This window comes from Homo sapiens, chromosome 16 (genome assembly GCF_000001405.40).
Source record: "Homo sapiens chromosome 16, GRCh38.p14 Primary Assembly".
NCBI lineage: Eukaryota > Metazoa > Chordata > Mammalia > Primates > Hominidae > Homo > Homo sapiens.
The window spans coordinates 53,769,036-53,790,508 of NC_000016.10; the positions used below are offsets into that span (position 1 = coordinate 53,769,036).

Genomic DNA, 21,473 nt, shown 5'->3' on the forward strand with positions numbered 1-21,473 from the left:
TTGACTTTTGGACTCATCTACCCACATATGTGGTGGGCGCCTTTTGAAAGTCAGGATTCAGAGTAAATCAGAACTGTCTTGAGTTAGCTGAAGTTCTCTTTAAGGTTAACAATAAATGTATCTATGACAAACATGGGGATGTGGTATTGCATATTCGATTATGTCCATTTATCTTTCCTTCTTCTGGGTGAGAGGGGAGATGAAAATGGAGCTACCTTGGAGTTCATGTTTTCACCTTGATTCTCCGCATTTATAGCATACTGATTGAAAGCATGGCTGCCAGAACCATATTACTTGGGCTTGAGTACTAGCTCTGTCACTTACTCATTGTTTAACTTTGGGCGGGGTACTTAATTTCTCTGTACCTCAGTTTCATAATCTGTCAAGTGGGGATAATTATGGTAACCACCACTGAGCATTGTTATGAAGATCAAATAAGTTAATTCATGTAAAATATTTAGAGCAGAACTTAGTATATAGCAACTGCGATACAAGTGTTAGATATCATTTTTATTAGGGTTTAGTAATTGCATAAATAAAAGAGATGAAAGTCTAAATTATTAATCAGGGCCATTTATCTATGAGACACTACAGGCATTGTGTCTAGCCCTGTGGGTTTACATTAGTTAGGGTAGGTTATTGCTGCAACGTACCCTAACTTGATATGATTTTTGCTGCAAAAATCATATCAAAATAGTCTATAATGGCTTAAACATAATAAAATGCATTTCTTGTTTATGTAACAGTAATGAGTAGGTAAACAGGGTGGTAGGACATTTTCCTCTCTGTATTCATTTAGGGATCTAAGCTGAAGGAGGCTCTGCCATCTTCCACACAAGGTTTCTAAGGTCACCTTAGGTTATCTCTATTCCAGCCAGCAAGAAGGGGAAAAGAGCTGCAGAAATGTGTTTAGGGGTTTTTTATGGGCCAGACCTGGAAGTGGCACTCATCACTTCTGTTCACATTCCATTGGCCAGAACTCAGCAGGAAGAGGAGGAAAACAGCTGCCACTCATCTCAGCCACAGAGTTTTTCAGGGGTCTCTAAAAATGTATGAGACTTGAAAAAAATGTATTGACTCCAAACTCCAGACATAAAATTGCAGAATTGAAATGAATAAATGTTTAACTAAATGCTTATAAAATGGAGCCTTATATCAGCTTCCAAAGTTGTTACAGTTTGTATGGAAAAAAATGTAATTTCTTCCTAACGAACCTCCTTGCTTCTTTCCCTGCCTTCTCTACTATATTTGAAAAGATTTTGTAAGTTGGAATTTGGAATTTCCAAGAATTCCCAAGTACTATCCAGTGATTGCTGAGAAATTATAATTAGTCATAAATGAGTTTCTCAAGGCCAAATAAATTCAAACGAAAAATCTTCTCAAATTATTTTGCATTGCAGAGAAACCTTTTAATGTGAAATATGAATACAATTTAATATGTTTATTTTGATGTTGAGTGAGGCCTTCAAAAGTAGCAGGATCATGGCCTACAGAGGTCTTAACATTCCTATTGTATGCAGACACATTTCAATTGCTTTGAAAAGGTGTATGTTGAAGGTAACTAAACACATTTTGCATTTCAAGCTCAGAAAATTTCCCCTTTAGATTCCCTTTTCTTTTCTCCTTTTATTTTCTAATAAAATATTTACTGCTGTGATATCCAAGAACATGAATGATACTGCATTGAATAACCCAGGTGCTTGGTCTGGTGGATGCCAGTGCCAGAGAAGAAAAGTGCCCTATTTTTTCAGTTATCATGTTTGAAGGCGAGGCTTTGGTCTGCCTTCTGAGTCATTCTTGGCTTCTTGGATGATAGATTTCTTAAATTCTTCTATTCTCCTAACTCAAGGCACTTCTGAATGGGTGTTTGCGAGACGTTGTTTGAAAAACCACTTATCGTGATGGATTTTTGTTCTTCTATTTTTTGCTCTCTTACACACTTTGCTGTTGTCCTGCCAATTGGAATTTGATTTGTTAATTACAAAAGCAAACTATCCAGGATGGCTCTAAAGGGACTTCGCTATAGGTTGGGGCTATGATAGAGACTTTCGCGAAAGGGATTGGCAATTAAGAAATATAGCAACTGCTTCTGATGATTAAACATTTCAAGCAACTCTGAAGGTAGAATGTGGGGAATCTCCAGAGAAGGAAGGAAATAGAGAGGGAACTAATATTTATAGTTACTCCTATAGTCATCTCCATCTCAGTACAGGACATCTTCATCCTTCCAGTTGTTCAGACCAAAAACCCTGGAAACATCCTTGACTTCGTCTTTCCCATTCCACATTTCACCCATCAGCAAATTCTGTTGCATCTGTCTTCAGAATATATTCAGAATCCAACCACTTCTTACAACGTCTCCTTCTGCCATCCTTCTCCAAGCCACTAGCATCACTCTCCTGGATCATCGCAATTTCTTCCTATCTAGTCTCCTTGCTTCTTTCCTTGCCTTTCCCTACATAGCAATCAAAGTTTAGTCTTCAAAACACAACAAAACAAATCTCTTTTCTGTTCAAACTCTTTTATGTTTCCTCAAAATGTTATACGTAGAGTTACCATATAACCCGGCAATTCCACTCCTAGTTACCCAAGAGAAATGACAATGTATGTCCACACAAAACCTGTACATGAATGTTCACAGCAGCGTTATTCATGATAGCCAAAAGTGGAAAAAACCCAAACGCCCATCAATGATGAATGTACAATTAAAATGTGGCATAACCATACAATGGAATATTATTTGTCAATAAAAAGAATGAAGTACTGGTACCATGCTATAAAATGGTTGAACTTTGAAACCATATGCTCCGTAAAAGAAGCCAGTGACAAAAGGCCACATATTACATGATTCCATGTACAGAATAGACAAATCCATAGAGACTGGAAATAGATTAGTGATTGCCAGGAGCTGGGGAGAGAGGAATGGGGAGTGACTGCTAATGGATGCAGGGTTTCTTTTTCTTTTGTGGTAGTGAAAATGTTCTGAAATTAAGTAGTGGTGACGATTGCATAACTCTATGAATATACTTTCTGGCTTGTATACTTTTTTGAAGGGGAAAATTGTGTGGTATGTTAACGATATCTCAATAAAGCTGCTATTACAACAAAAACAACTTCTTTGGCTTTCTTTCTGATCTTTTTCCCTGAATCGTTTCTGACCTCTTCCCCTACTCTTCTTCTCTTTCTTTTTAACCCACTCAGACTGGCCCCTATTTTGTTCCTCTAACAGGGCAAGTGCTTCCTGCCATGGGCCTTTGTATTTTCTCTTCTCTCTTTTTGTAGAACTTTCTTCCCCCAGGTATCTGCGTGGCTGGTTCACTTGCTTCCTTTAGCTCTCTATTTAAACATCCTATTCTCAGGAGACTTTCTCTGATTACCCGAAAATAGTACTCCCTACTTCATGGCCTGCTGGCGTTCTCTGTTTCTTTCATCCTGTTTTATTTTTCTCTGTATCATCAACATGTGATACACTGTTTTCTTGTTTGTTTTTTATCTGTCTTCCAACATTAAAATGTAAACTCCATGAGGCAGTAACTAGGCTTTGTTTGTGACTGTATCTGCAGTAATACATACCACACCTCTTTTCACTAGACCATTAGCTTGAGGAAGACATGGATTTCCTTGGCACTGGTGTTGAATTGGGACTAACTGTATTTGCAGGAGGAATATTCAGTGTGTCTATTAGATGCTACATTAGAAATCATCAGCTTGGAAGCAGTCTCCATGGGAAAAGTAATTTTGATTCAAAGGGTAGAATGGAACTACTCAGGTTACATGGTCTTTTATTGTCATATAAATCTTTGTACAGAGTTCCTACTTTTTAAACCATTAGCATTATGCTAATATACAAAGTTTGCTACTTTTCATATTTGTCTTACAGATTCAAAGCCTTTAGTTCTTTTCAGTCTTAATTTACCACCTGTCTGCTCTCTCCTTTTCTCCCTTGGAATGTTCTTAAGATTTAATTTTGAAGGAACTTTCTGTCAGATGATTATTGGTAAAGTAAAATGTATTTCTGGGAAGCAGCTGATTACTTGGGCCTTTGATTTATTTATTTATTTTTTTTTTTGAGGAGTTCATATTGCGATATACCTATTTGGTGGTTATTTAGAAAGGCCAAGGTAGGGAGAAAAAGGAAAGAATAAAATATATGTATGCTTTAAAAAAAAGCAAGCATTTAGTTTGGGGAGCCCTCCAAATGTGATTTCTTCTACTCCTGTTTTCCTGCTTCCAAGCATAGGTGGAAGATATTGTCAGTTTCTCTGAACTCCTAAGTTGAAATGTGCAAGTCACTAGGTGGCACTGAAGTATCATTCTCCACACAGCCACGCCATAGAACACTTTTGTTATCTTGCTCCAGCTGACTGGATTTCTAGGTGTCAGGGAAATTGTTTTATTGGTACAGGGCATAGTGTAATATATTCCTCTCCACCCTAGGCAGCTACTTAACGCCCTGAAACATGCACCTCTTGTGGTCATGGCCTGTTAACTATGCTTATTTGGTGTAATAATTAGCAGAATTTCTCACTAACAGGGGTACTTACCAACACCTCACATCTTCACTGTGTTTTTGTACGTGATGGATTGTACATTCTGTGGAGAAAGTTGGGAAGGTCAAAGCTTAACCTCTGCCTAACAGGACTAGTTTTCGCACATTTGTTCAGAATAGGTTTATATTAACTGGCTTTTGAGCTTCTTCAGACCAGAATTGTGTGTAACGTAAACATATTTGAGCTTTTATGTAAGGACCTAGTGAAGGTTTGTAAACACAACACTGTTAATTTTCCAACTCATAGAATGACAGAAAAATAAATGAATAGCTGCTGGAATAATTGGACGACACTTGTTACTCAGAACTGTGAGTGTTGGAAGCGTGTCATAGGAACAGTGGGCCTGCCACAAGCACCACATTTTAGGTTAAAATCGGAGAAGAAAATTACACATGGAATTTTAATTTTTTCCATGGTCGTAAGTTCGGCCCCATTTAATTCTTTGTGGTTTTTACAAGCCCTCTTAGGCTCCTAATATTTCTATAGCAACAATTTCAACGTTTATTTTAGAATGTGGTCAGAATTAACCGACAGAAGACCAAACAGGATAAAATAGGTTTAAAGCAGGAAATACTTTAGCTGGACCACTAACTTACCCTCTATGACCTTAGGCAAACTGTTTGCCGTCTCTGTGCTTTGATTCTCTCATTTCTTAAAATGGAGATTATAATACGCACCCTTGTGTGTCTCCTCCACCAGGTAAAAGTGAAACAATAACTTCTCAATATACCTTTGCTTATATTCAAAGCTCCAGGTAAATATAAGATGTTGCTATAATTACCTAAGAAAGCTAGGAAGATTTTTCTTTGTTGATTCCAAGGTGAGTTGTAGAAATTCCAGAAGATGGATTAATGTAGTCTGAGGGCTCAGACTTCTGCATCTGTGTAGATAGTACCTATTTTCATATACTGTGGCCTGGCTCTGTTTCTGGCCTGGCTCTGTTTCCAAGGTTTAAGTTCCATTCTTTTAACTGTGTATCAACTATTTTCACTTGGTTGTTCTACTTTTACTTAAACCCTTTATATATGTCTGGATTTAGTTGTAGGAAACAGAAACTATGTGAGATAGGGAAATAGGTTGATATAAAGTCATCAGGAGGACCAGAGAAATGGGCTGAAGGTGGAGCCTCCAGAGATGGGCTTCTGAAACAATATTACAGATTGGCTTGCCAGGGTAGCCGCTCATCTGTCACACTCGGGAAGGGCTAAGAATCAGGAGTCATTCCTAGAACTGTTGATTTGTAAGAACACACAACCATAGTTGTAGTTGGGATCAGGAAGGTACCACCATTACAACTGGCATTTGAGAACTACAAAGTGAATGGCCAGATTCTGGAATGTTATTGCCTCATGACTATGTTGCCTGCAGAAAAAGTTGAAACAGCAAGGTGATGGCCTCCATTTTATTTTTGACTTCTGATTCTCACATGCCGCCATTAAATTGGTGAAGCTTATTTCTCATCCAGAACTCCTAGCTGCAAAAGGGTCTGAGAAATAATAGTGTTTACCTTTTCATCCTCTGCACCATAGGAAGGCACAATAAGAGGAGATTGGAAGGGTGCTGAGTGCCACCATATCTACCTCTTCCCCCAGCATGTTTAAAATAAAATATCTTTACCTCCAACTCATATTGCATTTTCTGTCCAGCACAGCAACTAGCTTAGTGGGCCCTCAGTAGATGTGTTAATGACATTGACTTCCTTATTTCTTATATGGCCCCACCTTTCCTAGTCACGTGTCTTGGTACTATGTGAGATTTCAGATCCACCTGCCTACCTGTAACTCTTGATTCCTTTTCATTTCCATTGCTGTCTCCTTGTTCAGGTCCAGCTCCTGTCTGCCTGGGCTTTTGCAGTAGTCTCCTTATCTGGCTTTTGGTTTCTTTCACCGTAACCATATTATAAGTAGATTGGTGTTTAAAAATCAGAACAACAAATAACAAACATCCTTCCACTGTGCTCCTGTCCTTCTCAAAAGCTTTCTGAGGCTCCTCATTACATGCAGGATAGAATCCAGACTCCTTAGCTTGACTTTCAGGACCTTCCATAATCAGGGTGCAATCTATCATTCCAGGCTTATCTTTCATTTTCCCCCTGCTGGAACTGAATTTTAGCCAAAAGGTCTAATCACTGATGTCAGAGTGTCTTGTCCTTTACTAACTTTTCAGCTCTGCTATCCTTTTGCCTGCTTTTAATAGTCTGTTTTCTTTCTCATTTGTTTATTCCTTTGATCACTTAGGCACAGAGTTTTTTTCTCCTTTCTTCATACTTATAGCATGGTTTACTAAGGCATTTTAATTTTATTACCTATATCGTTAGTTTTCTTTTTATGACTATATACTCTCCGCTCCTTTTTATGTCGACAATGTAAATATTTGTTGTGGATTGATTTGTTGATTTTTCATGGTTTAGACATCTACTTGCTTGGGAAAAAGGGGATGGTGGAGGGTCAATCTGGGGGCTGAAGCGGTACTCTAGCTGTGTGATTTTGTCTTTTTGATTACTACTGAAATTAACTATTTGCTTTGAGCAAACTAATGCTGAGTTTTGTGGATTTAGTGTTTGAAAAGGGCCCTGAGAGGGAAAACCCTGGAGTTGAGCTCCTTATCCCCGTTTGCCAGGCTGGATGAGCTCCATGTCCATACCACTGCATTGCAGTTTGCTGAAGTGTGTGTTGTGAAATAGCAATGGAATTTGTCTGTGGTTTCTTGCCAGCGAGGAGGAGGAAGAAGGATTCTGAGTAAATCAGACATGTAAATTAGTAAGGCCCATGGGCCTTAAGCGAATTACACAATAAAGCCCAAAGAAATTCACTTTGGCTTCTTTCTGCTTTTTGTGTGTGTGAGAAGGCAGCTATTATGTGTTTGCTTTAGGCCAGAGGTTCACAAATTTTTTGGCTTCAGAACCCTTTTATACTCCTAAAAATTGTTGAGGACTCAAAAAGCTTTTGTTTATATGGGTTAAACCTATCAATATTTACTGTACTGGGAACTAAAACAGGAACTTTTAAAAGCCTTTATTGATTTAAAAATAGCAAAACCCCTTCATTACAAGTTAATGTAACATTTTTTATGAAAAATAACTCTTTTCCAATGTAAAAAATTAGCAAGAAGTGTGCCATTGTTTTACTTTTCTGCACATCTCTTTACTGTCTAGCTTGATGCTTGATTCTTATACTTTTTTGTTTAGTTGTTGAAATATGTTGTTTTGGTTGAAGTATATGAACAAAATCTGGCCTCAGACATTAATGGAAAAAGGGAGTATTTTAATTGCTTCTTCAGCTATTAAATGTAGATATTCTTCTTTGATATTATTCCAAAACTTGTCAAGTGATAGCTTCTATTTTAAAACATTTTTGTTTTTAATTGACAATAATTATCTATATTTATGGGGCATGCTGTGATGTTCCATGTACACATTGTGGCATGATTAAATCAAGCTAATTAACATATCTGTCACCACACATACTTATTATTTCTTTGTGGTGAGAATACTTAAAATCTACTATTTTAGCAAATTTGAAATATACATTACTGTTTACTAGTCAGCATGCTGTGCAACAGATCACTAGAACTTAGGTCTCCTGTCAAACTGAATTTTTTACCCTTTGACTAACATCTCCCCTTTCTCTGCTCTATCCCACCAAACTCTGGCAATTACTGTTCTGCTCTCTACTTCTATGAGTTTGACTTTTTTAGATTCCATATTTTAGGGAGATCTGTACCTGGCTTATTTCACTTAGCATAATGCCCTCTAGATTCAAGATTCATCCATGTTGTCACAGATGACAGAATTTCCTTTTGTAAGGCTGAATATTATTCCATTTTCTTTAGACAAGTGATAATATCTTAAAGCTTACTTGCAGTGTGGAATCCGAAGCTATCTCAATTAACTTTTCTTACTTTGTTATATTAAAATCTGTTGATCTCTTTTGCACTTTGAATGCATCTTTTACATTCAAATGATTTTGTAACATTACGTTTTGATCATTTGGAAAATTATCATGTCACTGAGTTATACAGATCTTCCAAATGTTGATGCATTTCATTATACAGTGTAAAAAAAGGTCACACTCATCAGTATCACCACTGATCTTATACAAGTTTTTAAGTATTGAAAAGCCCCAAGCTCAAGGTAGCAAATACAAATTTTCTAAATTTCTGATTTTTCTTGACAACCTGAAGTTTATCATTGGCAGCAAATATGGTCAGTTGTTTTTCTTGAAGTGGCAAGCTCACTTGATTAATTGTTGAGAAAAAGTCTGCCAAATACTCAAGTCCGATTAACCAGAAAAATGTCAGTCAGCTATTTTTTCAAGTAAAAATGGTGTTCCATGGGGCAAATTCAGCCCAGAACTCAAATCACACATGTACTTTTGTTTGAGACAACCATTTTACTTTAGTATTTATCAGAAGTACTTTATGTATGTTTACTATTTTGTCACACAGTATAGTAAAAAGATAGCTACTTAAAGCTCAAGATTTAATAGAATTAATAATTTTTCCTGCTTCACCAAGGACATGCTTAAGTGAAACTAACTTCCTTTTTCTTTCTCTTTTAAATGGAATGCATGGTAAAGAACATAGCAACTAGTAAGTTTTTGAGGTCTATTAAAACAGCCTGCTCACTATAGTTAATAATAATGTATATTTCAAAATTGCTAAAATGGTAGATTTTAAATGCTTTCACCACAAAGTATGTGAGGTGATGGATAAGTTAATTAGCTTGATTTAATCATTCCACAATGTATACAAATGTCAAAACATCACATTGTACTCCATAAATATGTATTACTTGTCAATTAAAAATAGATGTTAAAAAAACTGAATACTAGTTTAGTTTGGTACCGCTGGCTTGATTAGTGACAAGGCACCTGCAGTTTTACCCAGCATTCTTTAAACCGTCAGTGGAAATGTCCACACGGTGAAAAAAGCAAGTAATAGTATTATTCTGAAAATAGTATTGATCTTGTGGAACCTTTGCCAATCTACTGCACTATGCCAATTAGGAAGATTTGAGTAGCTAAAAATTCCAAGAGTGGAATAATAGTTTTATTAGTTATATCTTGAAGGCCAATTTCCTTTTTTACCCTGGAACTTAGGCTAAGTGAGGCAACCTGGAGGAGAAAATTTCTCTCCTGTCCTGAGATTGCTGTTAGCCCAGGGTCGGAATTCCTGGGGCCTGATTTTTTGAGTTTAAGAAGCACAGGGAGGATTTTTTTTTAACCTGCCTTTGGTGATAATAAATGTTTAACCTAAATCAATGTGATTGTGGATTTTTTTTTTTTTTTTGAATTGTTGTTTCTGTTAGAAAAATAATGAATGACAAGTGCCGCAGAGATCAGTTGTTTGTGAGATGACTGAGAAGGTAATAGGACCTCCTATTTGGGACATTAAGGAAAGCCTTCTCTAAAAAAAGAACCCATTTTGAGCAACATGCGAAAATTCTTTGAGTCAGTTGGCCTCATTTGTAAGCCTTTGATTGCTTTATTTGTTTGTTTGCTTGCTTGTTTATTTATTTATATTTGGAAGGCAATCTTTCTGCTTCCTGACTGGCTGTCAGATCTCCCAAATAACATCATCCCTTTGCTGGTGTGAATATAGCCTAGACTTGAGGCAGCAATTAACTGATCATGTAATAGAAGAATCCCAATCTTCCAGTTTCTTTTTTTAACTTCTTGGGTGGTTGGGGCACATCATTGCAACAATTATTACATTTACTCAAGAGTTTGTCTTTTCTATTAAAAAAAAAATTCCATCTAAGTGCCTTACGGTGAAGAGGAGGAGATTGTGTAACTGGAGTCTCCCCTTAACTGGTCTTTATTGTTAAAGAAGAGTGATCCCTTTGTGTTTCAGCTTGGCACACAGAAACTGTTTTAATTTAACAGTCCAGCTCCTTTAATAGATCAATTCTCTATTGTGGTTTGAATTTGGTGCACTCCCAATTTACTCTAAACTTCTACGGGCTTCCTTGGAGAAACTGGGGCAGAGATGCCGAAGACTCATTTCGGGTACAATTTAGAGTTTGTTTATTTATATAAATGTAAGGGGTACCAGTGCAGTTTTGTTACATGGATATATTGTGTAGTGGTAAAGTCTGGGTCAGCTTTTAGTGTAACTCATCTGAATAATGCACATTATATCCATTAATTTATAGTTTTATCTCAAACCTCTTATTAATTAATGCTAGCCATGGAAGCTAGCTAGCGCTTGTAAATGCCTGCTGTGTGTTAGATGCTCTAGTAGGTGTTTTAGACACCCTCATCTAATCTTCATGGTGATTTTCTGATATATCCTGAACCTGTACAATTTTCTCCACTTCTGTCACTACTACTACAGGCCAAGCCACCATCATTTCTTGCACAGACTTCTGCACCCTCAATGTGGCCTCCCTACTTCAAGTTTTAACAGTCTTCTCCCTCTCATAATCCACTTTCCAGACATAAGTTGGATTTATTTTAAAAATATATATCAAGTGATGTCACCTCACTGCCTATAAGACTCTTCAGTGACTTAATGACAAACAGAATGAGATCCTTCTCCTGCTCTGGCTGACAAGACCAGAACAACCTGGGTTCTATAGCTCTGAGAGCTCACCAGCCACTCTGTCCTTGCTCGTTCACTGTGCTCCAGACTCACTGGCTTGCTTTCTGTCCCTGGAAGCCACCAGACTGGTTCTTCCTTAGGGCCTTTGTACCAGCTGTTCTTCCTGCTTGGGACACTCTCTCCCCAGATCTTTAGTCTGGGCCTGGCTTCTTGTGATTTGTGTCTTGCCTAAAATGACACCCACTCAATGTGCCTTCCCTGACCAGCTGAGCTACAGCGGTTTCCCTCTACCGCATCACTAGATTTTACTTTCTTTCTTTTTGTTTGAGATGGAGTTTTGCTCTTGTTGCCCAGGCTGGAGTGCAGTGGCATGATCTGGGCTCACTGTAACCACCTCCTGGGTTCAAGCGATTTTCCCACCTGTAGAGACGGGGTTTTGCCATATTGGTCAGGCTGGTCTTGAACTCCTGACCTCAGGTGATTCACCCACCTCGGCCTCCCAAAGTGCTAGGATTACAGGCAGGAGCCACTGAGCCACCACATTCAGCCTAGATTTTATTTTCATTAAATCGCTTGATGCAGTGCAGAGTGAGTTTCTGCTATTAGACTGTCTGGATTTCAATCATGGCCTCGTCATTTACTGGCTGTGTGATTTTGGAGAAGTTACTTAACTTTTCAGGACTTTCATCTTCTTCTTTATAAAATGGAAATATTATTATATCCCTCCATTGTAAGAATTGAATAAGGTAGTACTTAGCATCTTTTATGGTTTCTGACACATTGTACATAATCAAAAAATGTTAAATATTGCTATTTTAATGTAATGTTATTAAAATCATTGCATATTTTATAGCTTATTTATTTGGCTATTTTTCTGTCTCTTCTACCAGGAATATAAGCTTTATGAGGGAAAGAATCTTATGTGTCACATTCCCAACTGTGCCCCTAGAGCTTAGAACAGTGCTTAGCACATAGTAGGCATTCACTAAATCTTTGCTGATTATTAAAATCTGAGATATAATTATCCCTATTTTTCCAATTGAGTAATCAGGGTTCAGAGAGGTAAAGTAACTTACCCAAGGCTACGCAGCTACTAAATGCTAGTAGTTCCTGGTATTTGTACTGAATGCTGATTACAAAGACCATGTTCTTTCTGTTATGCCACAATACATAAGTGGATCTTTATTTCAGATTCTGTCATTTATAGCAGATGATTTTCAGGTTGCCTTTTTATGTAAATGTAACATGACTCATGAAATGTAAACAGCCATTTGTGTGAACATGAAAGGTCAGAGCCAAGAGTTAGGCCACAGGCAAGTTAGGAAAGTGAGATATAGCACACCCACCACATTCAGTGGTGGAAGAAAAGTTACCTGATTCCTGCCTTGGAGATGTGTAGGGTAGTGACCTTGGGGTTGGGCTGCCTGAGGAGGTTCCTATGCTTTGATTTCTGAATGGACAGGATCCCTAAAGTCATCGACCCTAGTTTGGGCTCTTGTACTTCTTCTATCATCTTATTCTAGTTGGTGGAGGCAGAGGTTGAAAAATCAAAATGTTGGCTCCTTCAGCCTCTAAAAAGTAATAGGCTTGAATTTGCTTTTGTCACTAACATGATTATGGTGCTTGGTCTGTGGGGGCTTCACTGATGCATTCTTTTTAACAGCCCTGTTTGTTTGTTTGTTTGTTTGTTTATAAGTGAGCATAGCACAGAGGAAAAAATATAGGTTTTGGAGACTGGCACATCAGGGTTCAGATTTCTGCTGTGCTACTTCTTGGCTGTGTTTTGGCACGTGAACTTCTCTACACCTCAGTTTCTTTGTTTATGTAATGGGGATTCATATGACAATTAAAGAGAGAGCTTGTCTAAAGTGTCTTATGTAGTAGTATCCCCAGTTTGACCCTTTTGAGAATCTGATGACAGTTATGGAACCCTCTCCCCAGACAAGTGCCCGTATACCCAGAACTTTGTATTTAATTTCATGGGGTTCATGAAGCCTCTGAAACTCAGCTTAAGAGTCCATACCAACCAAGGTCCTTATAGGAAGAGCTTGTGTTTTTGTTTTGTTTTGGCTTTCTGCAGTCTCTTAATAATGTTTATTGAATGAGAGAATTTAACTAATTTCCGGTTTCCATAATCACTTTAAACTCGGTATTTGATTTCCTTTTCCCTGGGACCTGTGACAGTGCCAGCTTCATAGCCTAGTCTAGGCATGCCAGTTGCCCACTGTGGCAATCAATATCTGAGCCTGTGGTTTTTGCCTTAGGTAAACTGTAGAGATGGACTCATGGAATGCTTGGAAAATTTTTCAGTTTATGATAATGTGTAAATGTCGAGAGCCAATTATTGAGGAATGGCACCTCAAAGTATTTGGGTACTCTAGATCAGACATGACCATCTTGGTGTGTGAAATTTTGCTAATGCATCTTTCCTAATAGAATATACAATCTCAGGGCTAGAAAGTCTTAGAGATCATTTAATTTAATTCCTCCAGATTGATTAAGTGGTTTGTCCAAGGTCATTCAACTGGTATAGTGGCAGAGCTCAGGCTGTACAAATCAGGTGAGTATTCTTCAGCTCCTCAGAAGCCAGTAACTTCCACTCACTTGTGTGTGTCTGAAATTCATTAAACCTTCGACACAAAGTGCAGCCATTTTAATGCTGAATGATATTCATCACTGTCTGAAATGGGCTTATTTATGTACGAATGTTTATTCCTATCTCTTCCTCCATTCTCCCAAAATGTAAACCCCATAAGAACAGGAATCTTGTCTGTCTTAGTCACACTCAGTATCCTTAGAGCCTTGTGTGTAGTAGGTGTGTAGTGAATTTTGGTTGAATGAGTGGCAGTTCTAATAATGTCAGAAGAATTGGAATTTCTTTACAGAAATCTTTATCAGTAATTTAACAAACATCGATTGAACCTATTATGTATCAGGCACTATACCAGGCACAGGTACGAATGAGATATGGTGCTCAGCTTCAAGGAGTTACAGTCTAAATACCAAAATAACAGAATCAAGAGCAGCAGACTAAATTGGGCCCACTGTATTTTTTAAAAATTTAATTTGACTGCTGGGTGCGGTGGCTCACTCCTGTAATCCCAGCACTTCGGGAGCCTGAGGTGGGTGAATCATGAGGTCAGGAGTCCGAGACCAACCCGGCCAAGTTGGTGAAACACTGTCTCTACTAAAAAAAAATACAGGCCAGGTGTGGTGGCTCACGCCTATAATCCCAGCGCTTTGGGAGGCCGAGGCGGGCGGGTCACGAGGAGATCGAGGCCATCCTGGCTAACACGGTGAAACCCCGTCTCTACTAAAAATACAAAAAATTAGCCAGGGCGTGGTGGCGGGCGCCTGTAGTCCCAGCTACTCGAGAGGCTGAGGCAAGAGAATGGCGTGAACCCGGGAGGCGGAGCTTGCAGTGAAACGAGGTTGCGCCACGGCACTCCAGCCTGGGTGACAGAGCAAGACTCCATAAAAAAAAAAAAAAAAAAAAAAAGTAAAAGAAAATTAGCCGGGCGTGGTGGCACGTGCCTATAATCCCAGCTACTCGGGAGGCTGAGGCAGGAGAATCACTTGAACCCGAAAGGTGGAGGTTGCAGTGAGCTGAGATCGCGCCACTGCACTCCGGCCTGGGTGACAGAGTGAGACTTTGTCTCGGAAAAAAAAAAAATTAATTTGAATGCATGCTCCATTATATCCTATGTCTTTTACCTTCCTGCTTTGCTCATTTAACTGCCTGATTTCTGATGACATTTAAGTTCAGGTCTTAGGTTCTGTAGATCAGTGGTTTCTAAACCTGGTTGATCATCACCTCACCTCACTGGCCTTAGAAACAATACAGACCCTACTTCTGGAGATTCTAAACCAGGGCTGAGATGGGCCCTTGGAAACTGTATTGAAAAACAGTAACTCTATAGTCACTTACAATGAGCAGCCAAATCTAGCTAGATGCCCCTGCTTTATGGGTGAGTGTTGAGCATGAGGGTTTCGTCTTAAAACCTGGACTTGATATTCTATATTCATAGCATCTTTCATATCCTTAAAGATTCTATGTACTTTTCAGCACATTGTTCTGTTTCAAGGGGCTCTGCAAAGTATACTTGCTGTCTGTACATTTCCACTGTGAAAACTCCTTGAAATCATGTAGACAAATGAAAGCTAAACATCAAATAAATAACCTAAACTGGTAATACTCCCATTTGGCTCTCCTTGTGTCTTTTCATGTGGGTTAGCTCTTCAACCAGATTCAGCATATAAATTGAGTATGTATGGTTATATGGTGACTTTCAAAAGTAAATACTTTTTCTGTGGAACAAAAGAGATGGATTTGTGGTTTTCCAGGATTCCTTTTCCCTGACTTGGTAGAAAGATAGCCAGGCATAGCTCAGCAGACCTGAAAATAGGTGAGCTGTCAAGGTGTTGGCAGGGAGAGGCTCCTCTGGGTGGGACTTGGGGCATCCTACCAGCGAAAAAGAGACTAAGTTTAAGTGATTTCACATTTGGGCTTTACTTACTATAATTGCTGAAGTGCTAAATTGAGTGTGACAAATCTAACAGGTAATTGCCAAGTAGGTTTCATTACCAGTCATTGCATAGATAAATGATGTTCCTTATGTTAAAAAATAAAACCAAACTAAAGAAAAAAAATTGGACTATATTTGGAGGTAGAATTCAGATATTGCAGATATGTTCATATACATCAAAGCTGTTTCAATGTGTCAACGAACTCAGTTCATTTACCTCTGCCAAGGTGGTATAGTGTATGTGGGAGTGCAGAGTGGGGGAAAGTGAGGAGGGGTTGTGATTTATGAGAAACTGTAAAAGAGGTTAGAATTGGGAAACAAGTTTTTTTCTTAGAGGAGTGGCAAATAGTAAGTAGCATTTGGACCTCACTCAGCTCTAATAGTTAAAGCTAAGCTTTTTGACATTATCATTATATATTAATAATATATATGTGTGACCAGCCTCAATAGATTTTATTCATTAGTAACTTGGTTGATTTAATGAAAATAGTTTTAAAAGGCATACTGAAGCACAGTAAAACCTAAGGCTCACATCACTGTCTGGGGAGTCAGTGAGGAACAGGGCAGAGTGCCAGTGCATATGAAGAGGGATTTTTTTGCCTTCTTGGTTCACTGCATATTCCCAGTAATTGGAACAATGCCTGACATGAAGTAGACATAAAATAATTACTGAATGAAAGTGGAAAGGAAAGTATACTTAGTCTCTGCTTTCATGGAGCTTATATGCTAGTGGGAGAGAGACAAAAATTAAGTACAAATAAATAAACAGAATATATGATAGCAACTAGGGTGAGAGTGCTGTTTTTGATAGGATGGCAGGGATTGGGCCATTTGGGGAATGAATTGATGAGAAAGAGAAAGTTGTGCAAAGCTGGGAGAGGAAACATCATTTGAAGGACAGAAAGAAGGCCTACATGATTTGAGAATGGTGGAGAGAGAGATTTGAGGGACAGACTTGCTATGATTAAGAAAGATAGCTGGGCGCGGTGGCTCATGCCTGTAATCCCAGCACTTTGGGAGGATGAGGCGGGTGGATCATGAGGTCAAGAGATCAAGACCATCCTGACCAACATGGTGAAACCCGGTCTCTACTAAAAATACAAAAATTAGCTGGGCGTGGTGACATGCGCCTGTAGTCCCAGCTACTCGGGAGGCTGAGGCAGGAGAATTGCTTGAACCCGGGAGGCGGAGGTTGCAGTTAGCCGAGATTCCGCCGCTGCACTCCAGCCTGGTGACAGAGCGAGACTCCATCTCAAAAAGAAAAAAAAAAAAAAAAGAAAGTCATGATAAAGAGTGTGGATTTTATTTTACGCAAAGTGGGAGCTCATTAAGAAGGTAAAAGTTTTTAAGCAAGGGAATGACATGATTTGACCTACTTTTTAAAGGAGGTTGCTCTGACGGCTGTAGAGGATAGACCATAGGCAGGGGACAATAGAGAGACCAGGAGGAGGCTGTTGGAGTGTGTTAGGCGAGATATGGTGAGTGGTTTCAGAGGCTTGTGTGAGAAAGTTGATACACTGCCCCTACCCCATGCAAACACACACTTTCTTTTCTTATGATGACCTTTCTTTAAAAGCATTTGTTGGAATATGAGATTATAGGCCATAAGTGAGAAAACAACTCTTTTTGAGCTGTGAGGAATACTAGGAGAGGAGAAAGTGAGCTGTGTGTGCTGCCCATGGTGGTACGCTGCTATGGTTCTACAGTTCCAGTCATTTTTGACAGCATGGATTCAATGCAAAATGGCAACACACACTCTGTATCTTTTGGCAGATCAGAACATAATGAAAATAAAATAAAAAAATTCAAAACTGGCTCTTGAATGAAATAGGATTCAGAAGAGATGATCTCAAATCTACTTTATGAGATAATGTCCTTTTTAAAAATAAACACTAACATCAGTTATGCATTTAGAATGTCTGAATTATTATTCTAGGTTCCTTGCGACTGCTGTGAATTTTGTGATGCACTTGGATAGTCTCTGTTACTCTAAAGTTTTAATAGGTAACAGTCAGAAATGGAGTGGGAGAGCATAAAAGCAAACTGAAATGCAAATAGCTGGTACCCTGAAGCCATTAACTTTAAGCTGGTTATTCCTGACCTACTGTTTGGACATAAGATGGTAGAGAGGCTGAGTGTGACTTGAACATTTGTTCCTTAGAAACACCATCCTTGGGCTGGGCGCAGTGGCTCACGCCTGTGTTTCCAGGACTTTGGGAGGCTGAGGCGGGCAGATCATGAGGTCAATAGATCGAAACTATCCTGGCTAACACGGTGAAATCCCATCTCTACTAAAAATACAAAAAATTAGCCAGGTGTGGTGGCGGGTGCCTGTAGTCCCAGCTACTCGGGAGGCTGAGGCAGGAGAATTGCTTGAACCCAGGAGGCAGAGGTTGCAGTGAGCCAAGGTCGCACCACTGCACTCTAGCCTGGGCAACAGAGTGAGACTCCTTCTCAAAAAAAAAAAAAAAAAAAAAAAAAAAAAAAAGAAAAAGAAACACCATCCTTGTAAAGAGAGCGCATACACCTTCAATTTCTAGGGCAGCAGCGTTTGCTTTACAACTTCTATGTCTTGGTGGGAGTAGCACTATCTATCACCTTATGGGCCAAAGGGAAAAAGTCCAGTGAAAATGGCTCTGATGTTGTTGGAAGTGGGAAAGCAGGTTAATAGGTTCTTCTTAATGGAAAATGCAGCCAATATTGGCCAACTTACTTTGATTTCGGTAGTCATAACACCACCCTGGAAGGCACCCTAGATAGAGGTCACTTGCTACCACTCATTTTACAGATCAGGATACTAAGGATTTTCCTGATTTTAAGCATTAAGTATGGATATCCCTGTTGGTTGAAGTTAAATTGGTCAACTAGAATTTAAAAGCAAAAATTAAAAAAAAATTATTTTGTATTAGGTTTCAAAGGAATTGTTGTCAGTAGGAGAAGCCTGATTGTTCCTTTTACGCTGACTCATACAGTTTCAGCAGATTACATTTGAGGCCTAATGTTGAAATCTCATCTGTAAGTCTGGTATATCTAACTAATCATATAAACATCTTTCATCTTAGACTGTGTAGCATGTCCCTAGTAGACCAGGTGGGCCAAATGACATTATAGTTAAATCAAGCCAATAAATATATGAGAAAGAAGGCAAATGAGCGTAGACTCCATAGTGAATGATGGAGGTTCCGACGAGTCAAAGACACTGAACTATTCATTGCTATTGGTTTATGGAAGAGCAAACCCAGATATGTGTTATGCTGATTCTGTGTGATTGGCTACTTCCAGGATTGACCCTGTTCTCCTGTCCTGCTCAAGTCTCCTTCCTTCACTTAACCATATATTGTGGGTACTCAGAAATGCCATGCTTTTGTTTAGAGTAGCAGGATTGGTGTTGAAGATCAACAAGAAAAAGCAAAATGGGCTTGTCTGTCCCATCAAGTGATGTGCTGTCAACATATGTAGAATATGTGCCCTGAATTAGGAGAAAAAAGTAGAGATTCCTGAGTTTAGGAAATTATAATCTGATGCATCTTCTTCAGACTCAAGCCTTACCTAAAGTTTGTAAATTCTTTCTCTTTCGTCTTTATTCTTTCTCTACTCTTAACATTTTTTTCCCCCACCTCTTTGGCTATATGCTGTTCTGCTTTTGATACAGAATTGACCTTATTTGGCCAGATGGGGTGGCTCATGCCTGTAATCCCAGCACTTTGGGACGCTGAGGTGGGCGGCTCACTTGAGGCCAGGAGTACGAGACCAGCCTGGCCAACATGGTGAAACTCCGTCTCTACTAAAAATACAAAAATTAGCCGGACATGGTGGTGGGCGCCTGTAATCCCATCTACTAAGGAGGCTGAGGCAGGAGAATTGCTTGAACCCGGGAGGTGGAAATTGCAGTGAGCTGAGATCAGGCCACTGCACTCCAGCCTGGGCGACAGAGCTAGACTCTGTCTCAAAAAAAAAAAAAAAAAAAAAATTGACCTTTTTCATGCCCAACCTCTATCTCCATTATCTCCTAGCTTTTTGGAAAATATTTAGTACTGGCATTTCTTCTTCACTGATTTTTCATTCTACCTGTCTTTAGTATCATAGGGGTAGTTACCTCAGCGGGGGTAGGGAGACCTTGGGTGTCTCTTACTTGTACATACTCTGTCCTCTATAAGTAAGTGTGTAAATACACTGTATTTTCCCATTCAGACATATTGTGTAAGTAATAGGAACCAGGTGTTTGAATAAATTAACCAAGTGCCAAATTTCATTTTGGAAATGAAATATTTTAGTTTAAGACTCTAGGACATTTATAAAGCTGAAATACATTGCAAAGTGATGAAAGCTTTCTTAAATTCTGTTATAGTCATGCACCTTAAAATTATTCATTGTTACTTATAGTTATTATCTGTCTGTATATGCTCATCTACATATGTAAAACATGAAGATATTCTCTCAAGTGAGGACTTCATGTGCCAGATTTTTCAGCCTGGATTGAATTTTATGGATGAGAGAGATACCCTGGAAATGGAACCATTGGCATAACCTTGTGTCTAATATAATAACAGAGCTCTAATGAACTGCAACATGAGCTCAGATCTGCAAAATATTCAGAGGATATAGGCAAAGAGCAGTTTTTTCCTCCTTATGAGCTAGGTTGTTCTCCAAAAGCAACAAGTACTACTTGTCTTTTCAGAGCGCTGTCATGGAGCTGTAAGTCTCTTTGTGGTTTAGACTTAATGTGAGTAAGATTCCTCTGCATTCTCAGCCTAGAAAAACTTGACCGTTCTCTTGGAATTTGGTGAAAGTTTCCTAACTTTGAAGCTAGAGAATACTCTCATTTCAGATTAGGCAATTATTAACATTTTTTTCTGTTCTAATTTCATGATGCCAAAAAATCATGTATGGTTGATCTATTTGGAGAACAATATGTAGCCTCAGACACTTAAGATCATATGTAGTTTAGAAATAATGTCAATTGCATATGAATGTTTTGATGTTTTTCCCCCAGCCTTTCTGAATTTTTTGATTTCTTCAAATTGTACCTGGTTTTTTATTTTTGTTTCTGTTTTTGTTTTTGACTTTCACATAAACTGTTTATAGTGTCTGGAACATACATATATATATATATACACACACACACACATATATGTATGTATGTATACATGTGTACATGTATATAAACATGTATATGTATGTATATTCCAGACAAATTATATAAATGTATGTATATATATACAAATTATATATACATATACGTATATATATACAAATTATATATATACATATACGTATATACACAAAAATTATAACACAAATTATATATACATATATTTTGTACATATACAAATATATAATATGTTTGTGTATGTATAGTTATATATACACATAAATATTTTGTATTTTGTATATATGTATACATATACATTTTGTAATATATACGTATATATTACTATATGTATTTTTAATTGTAAAATACACATAGGATAAAATTTATAATTTTAGTCCTTAGCCATTTTTTTTAACCATTTAACAAGTGGTATTAAGTTCATCCTCATTATTGTGGAACCCATCACCACTATCCATCTTCAAAACTTTTCCAGCAGCCCATACTGAAACTGTACCAATTAAACAATAACTCCTTGTTTCTAGCTTCCCCCAGCCCCTGGCAACCACCATTCTATTTTCTGTCTCTACAAATTCAACTATTTCAGGTAACACATATAAGTAGAATCATACAGTATTTGTCCTTTTGTGGCTGGCTAGTGACGACATTAAGATTAAAATCAGGAGAAACAGGGTGGGCATGTTGGCTCACACCTGTAATCCCAGCACTTTGGGAGCCTGAGGCAGGAGGATTGCTTGAGCCTAG

The 21,473-nt window shown here is 38.4% G+C and overlaps 1 protein-coding gene across 25 annotated transcripts in view; it reads left to right on the forward strand.

The window, feature by feature from the left end:
• The window catches only part of FTO (FTO alpha-ketoglutarate dependent dioxygenase), a 417,979-nt gene that overhangs the window by 65,073 nt on the left and 331,433 nt on the right, over positions 1 to 21,473 (forward strand). The gene's annotated exons all lie outside the window — the stretch shown is intronic.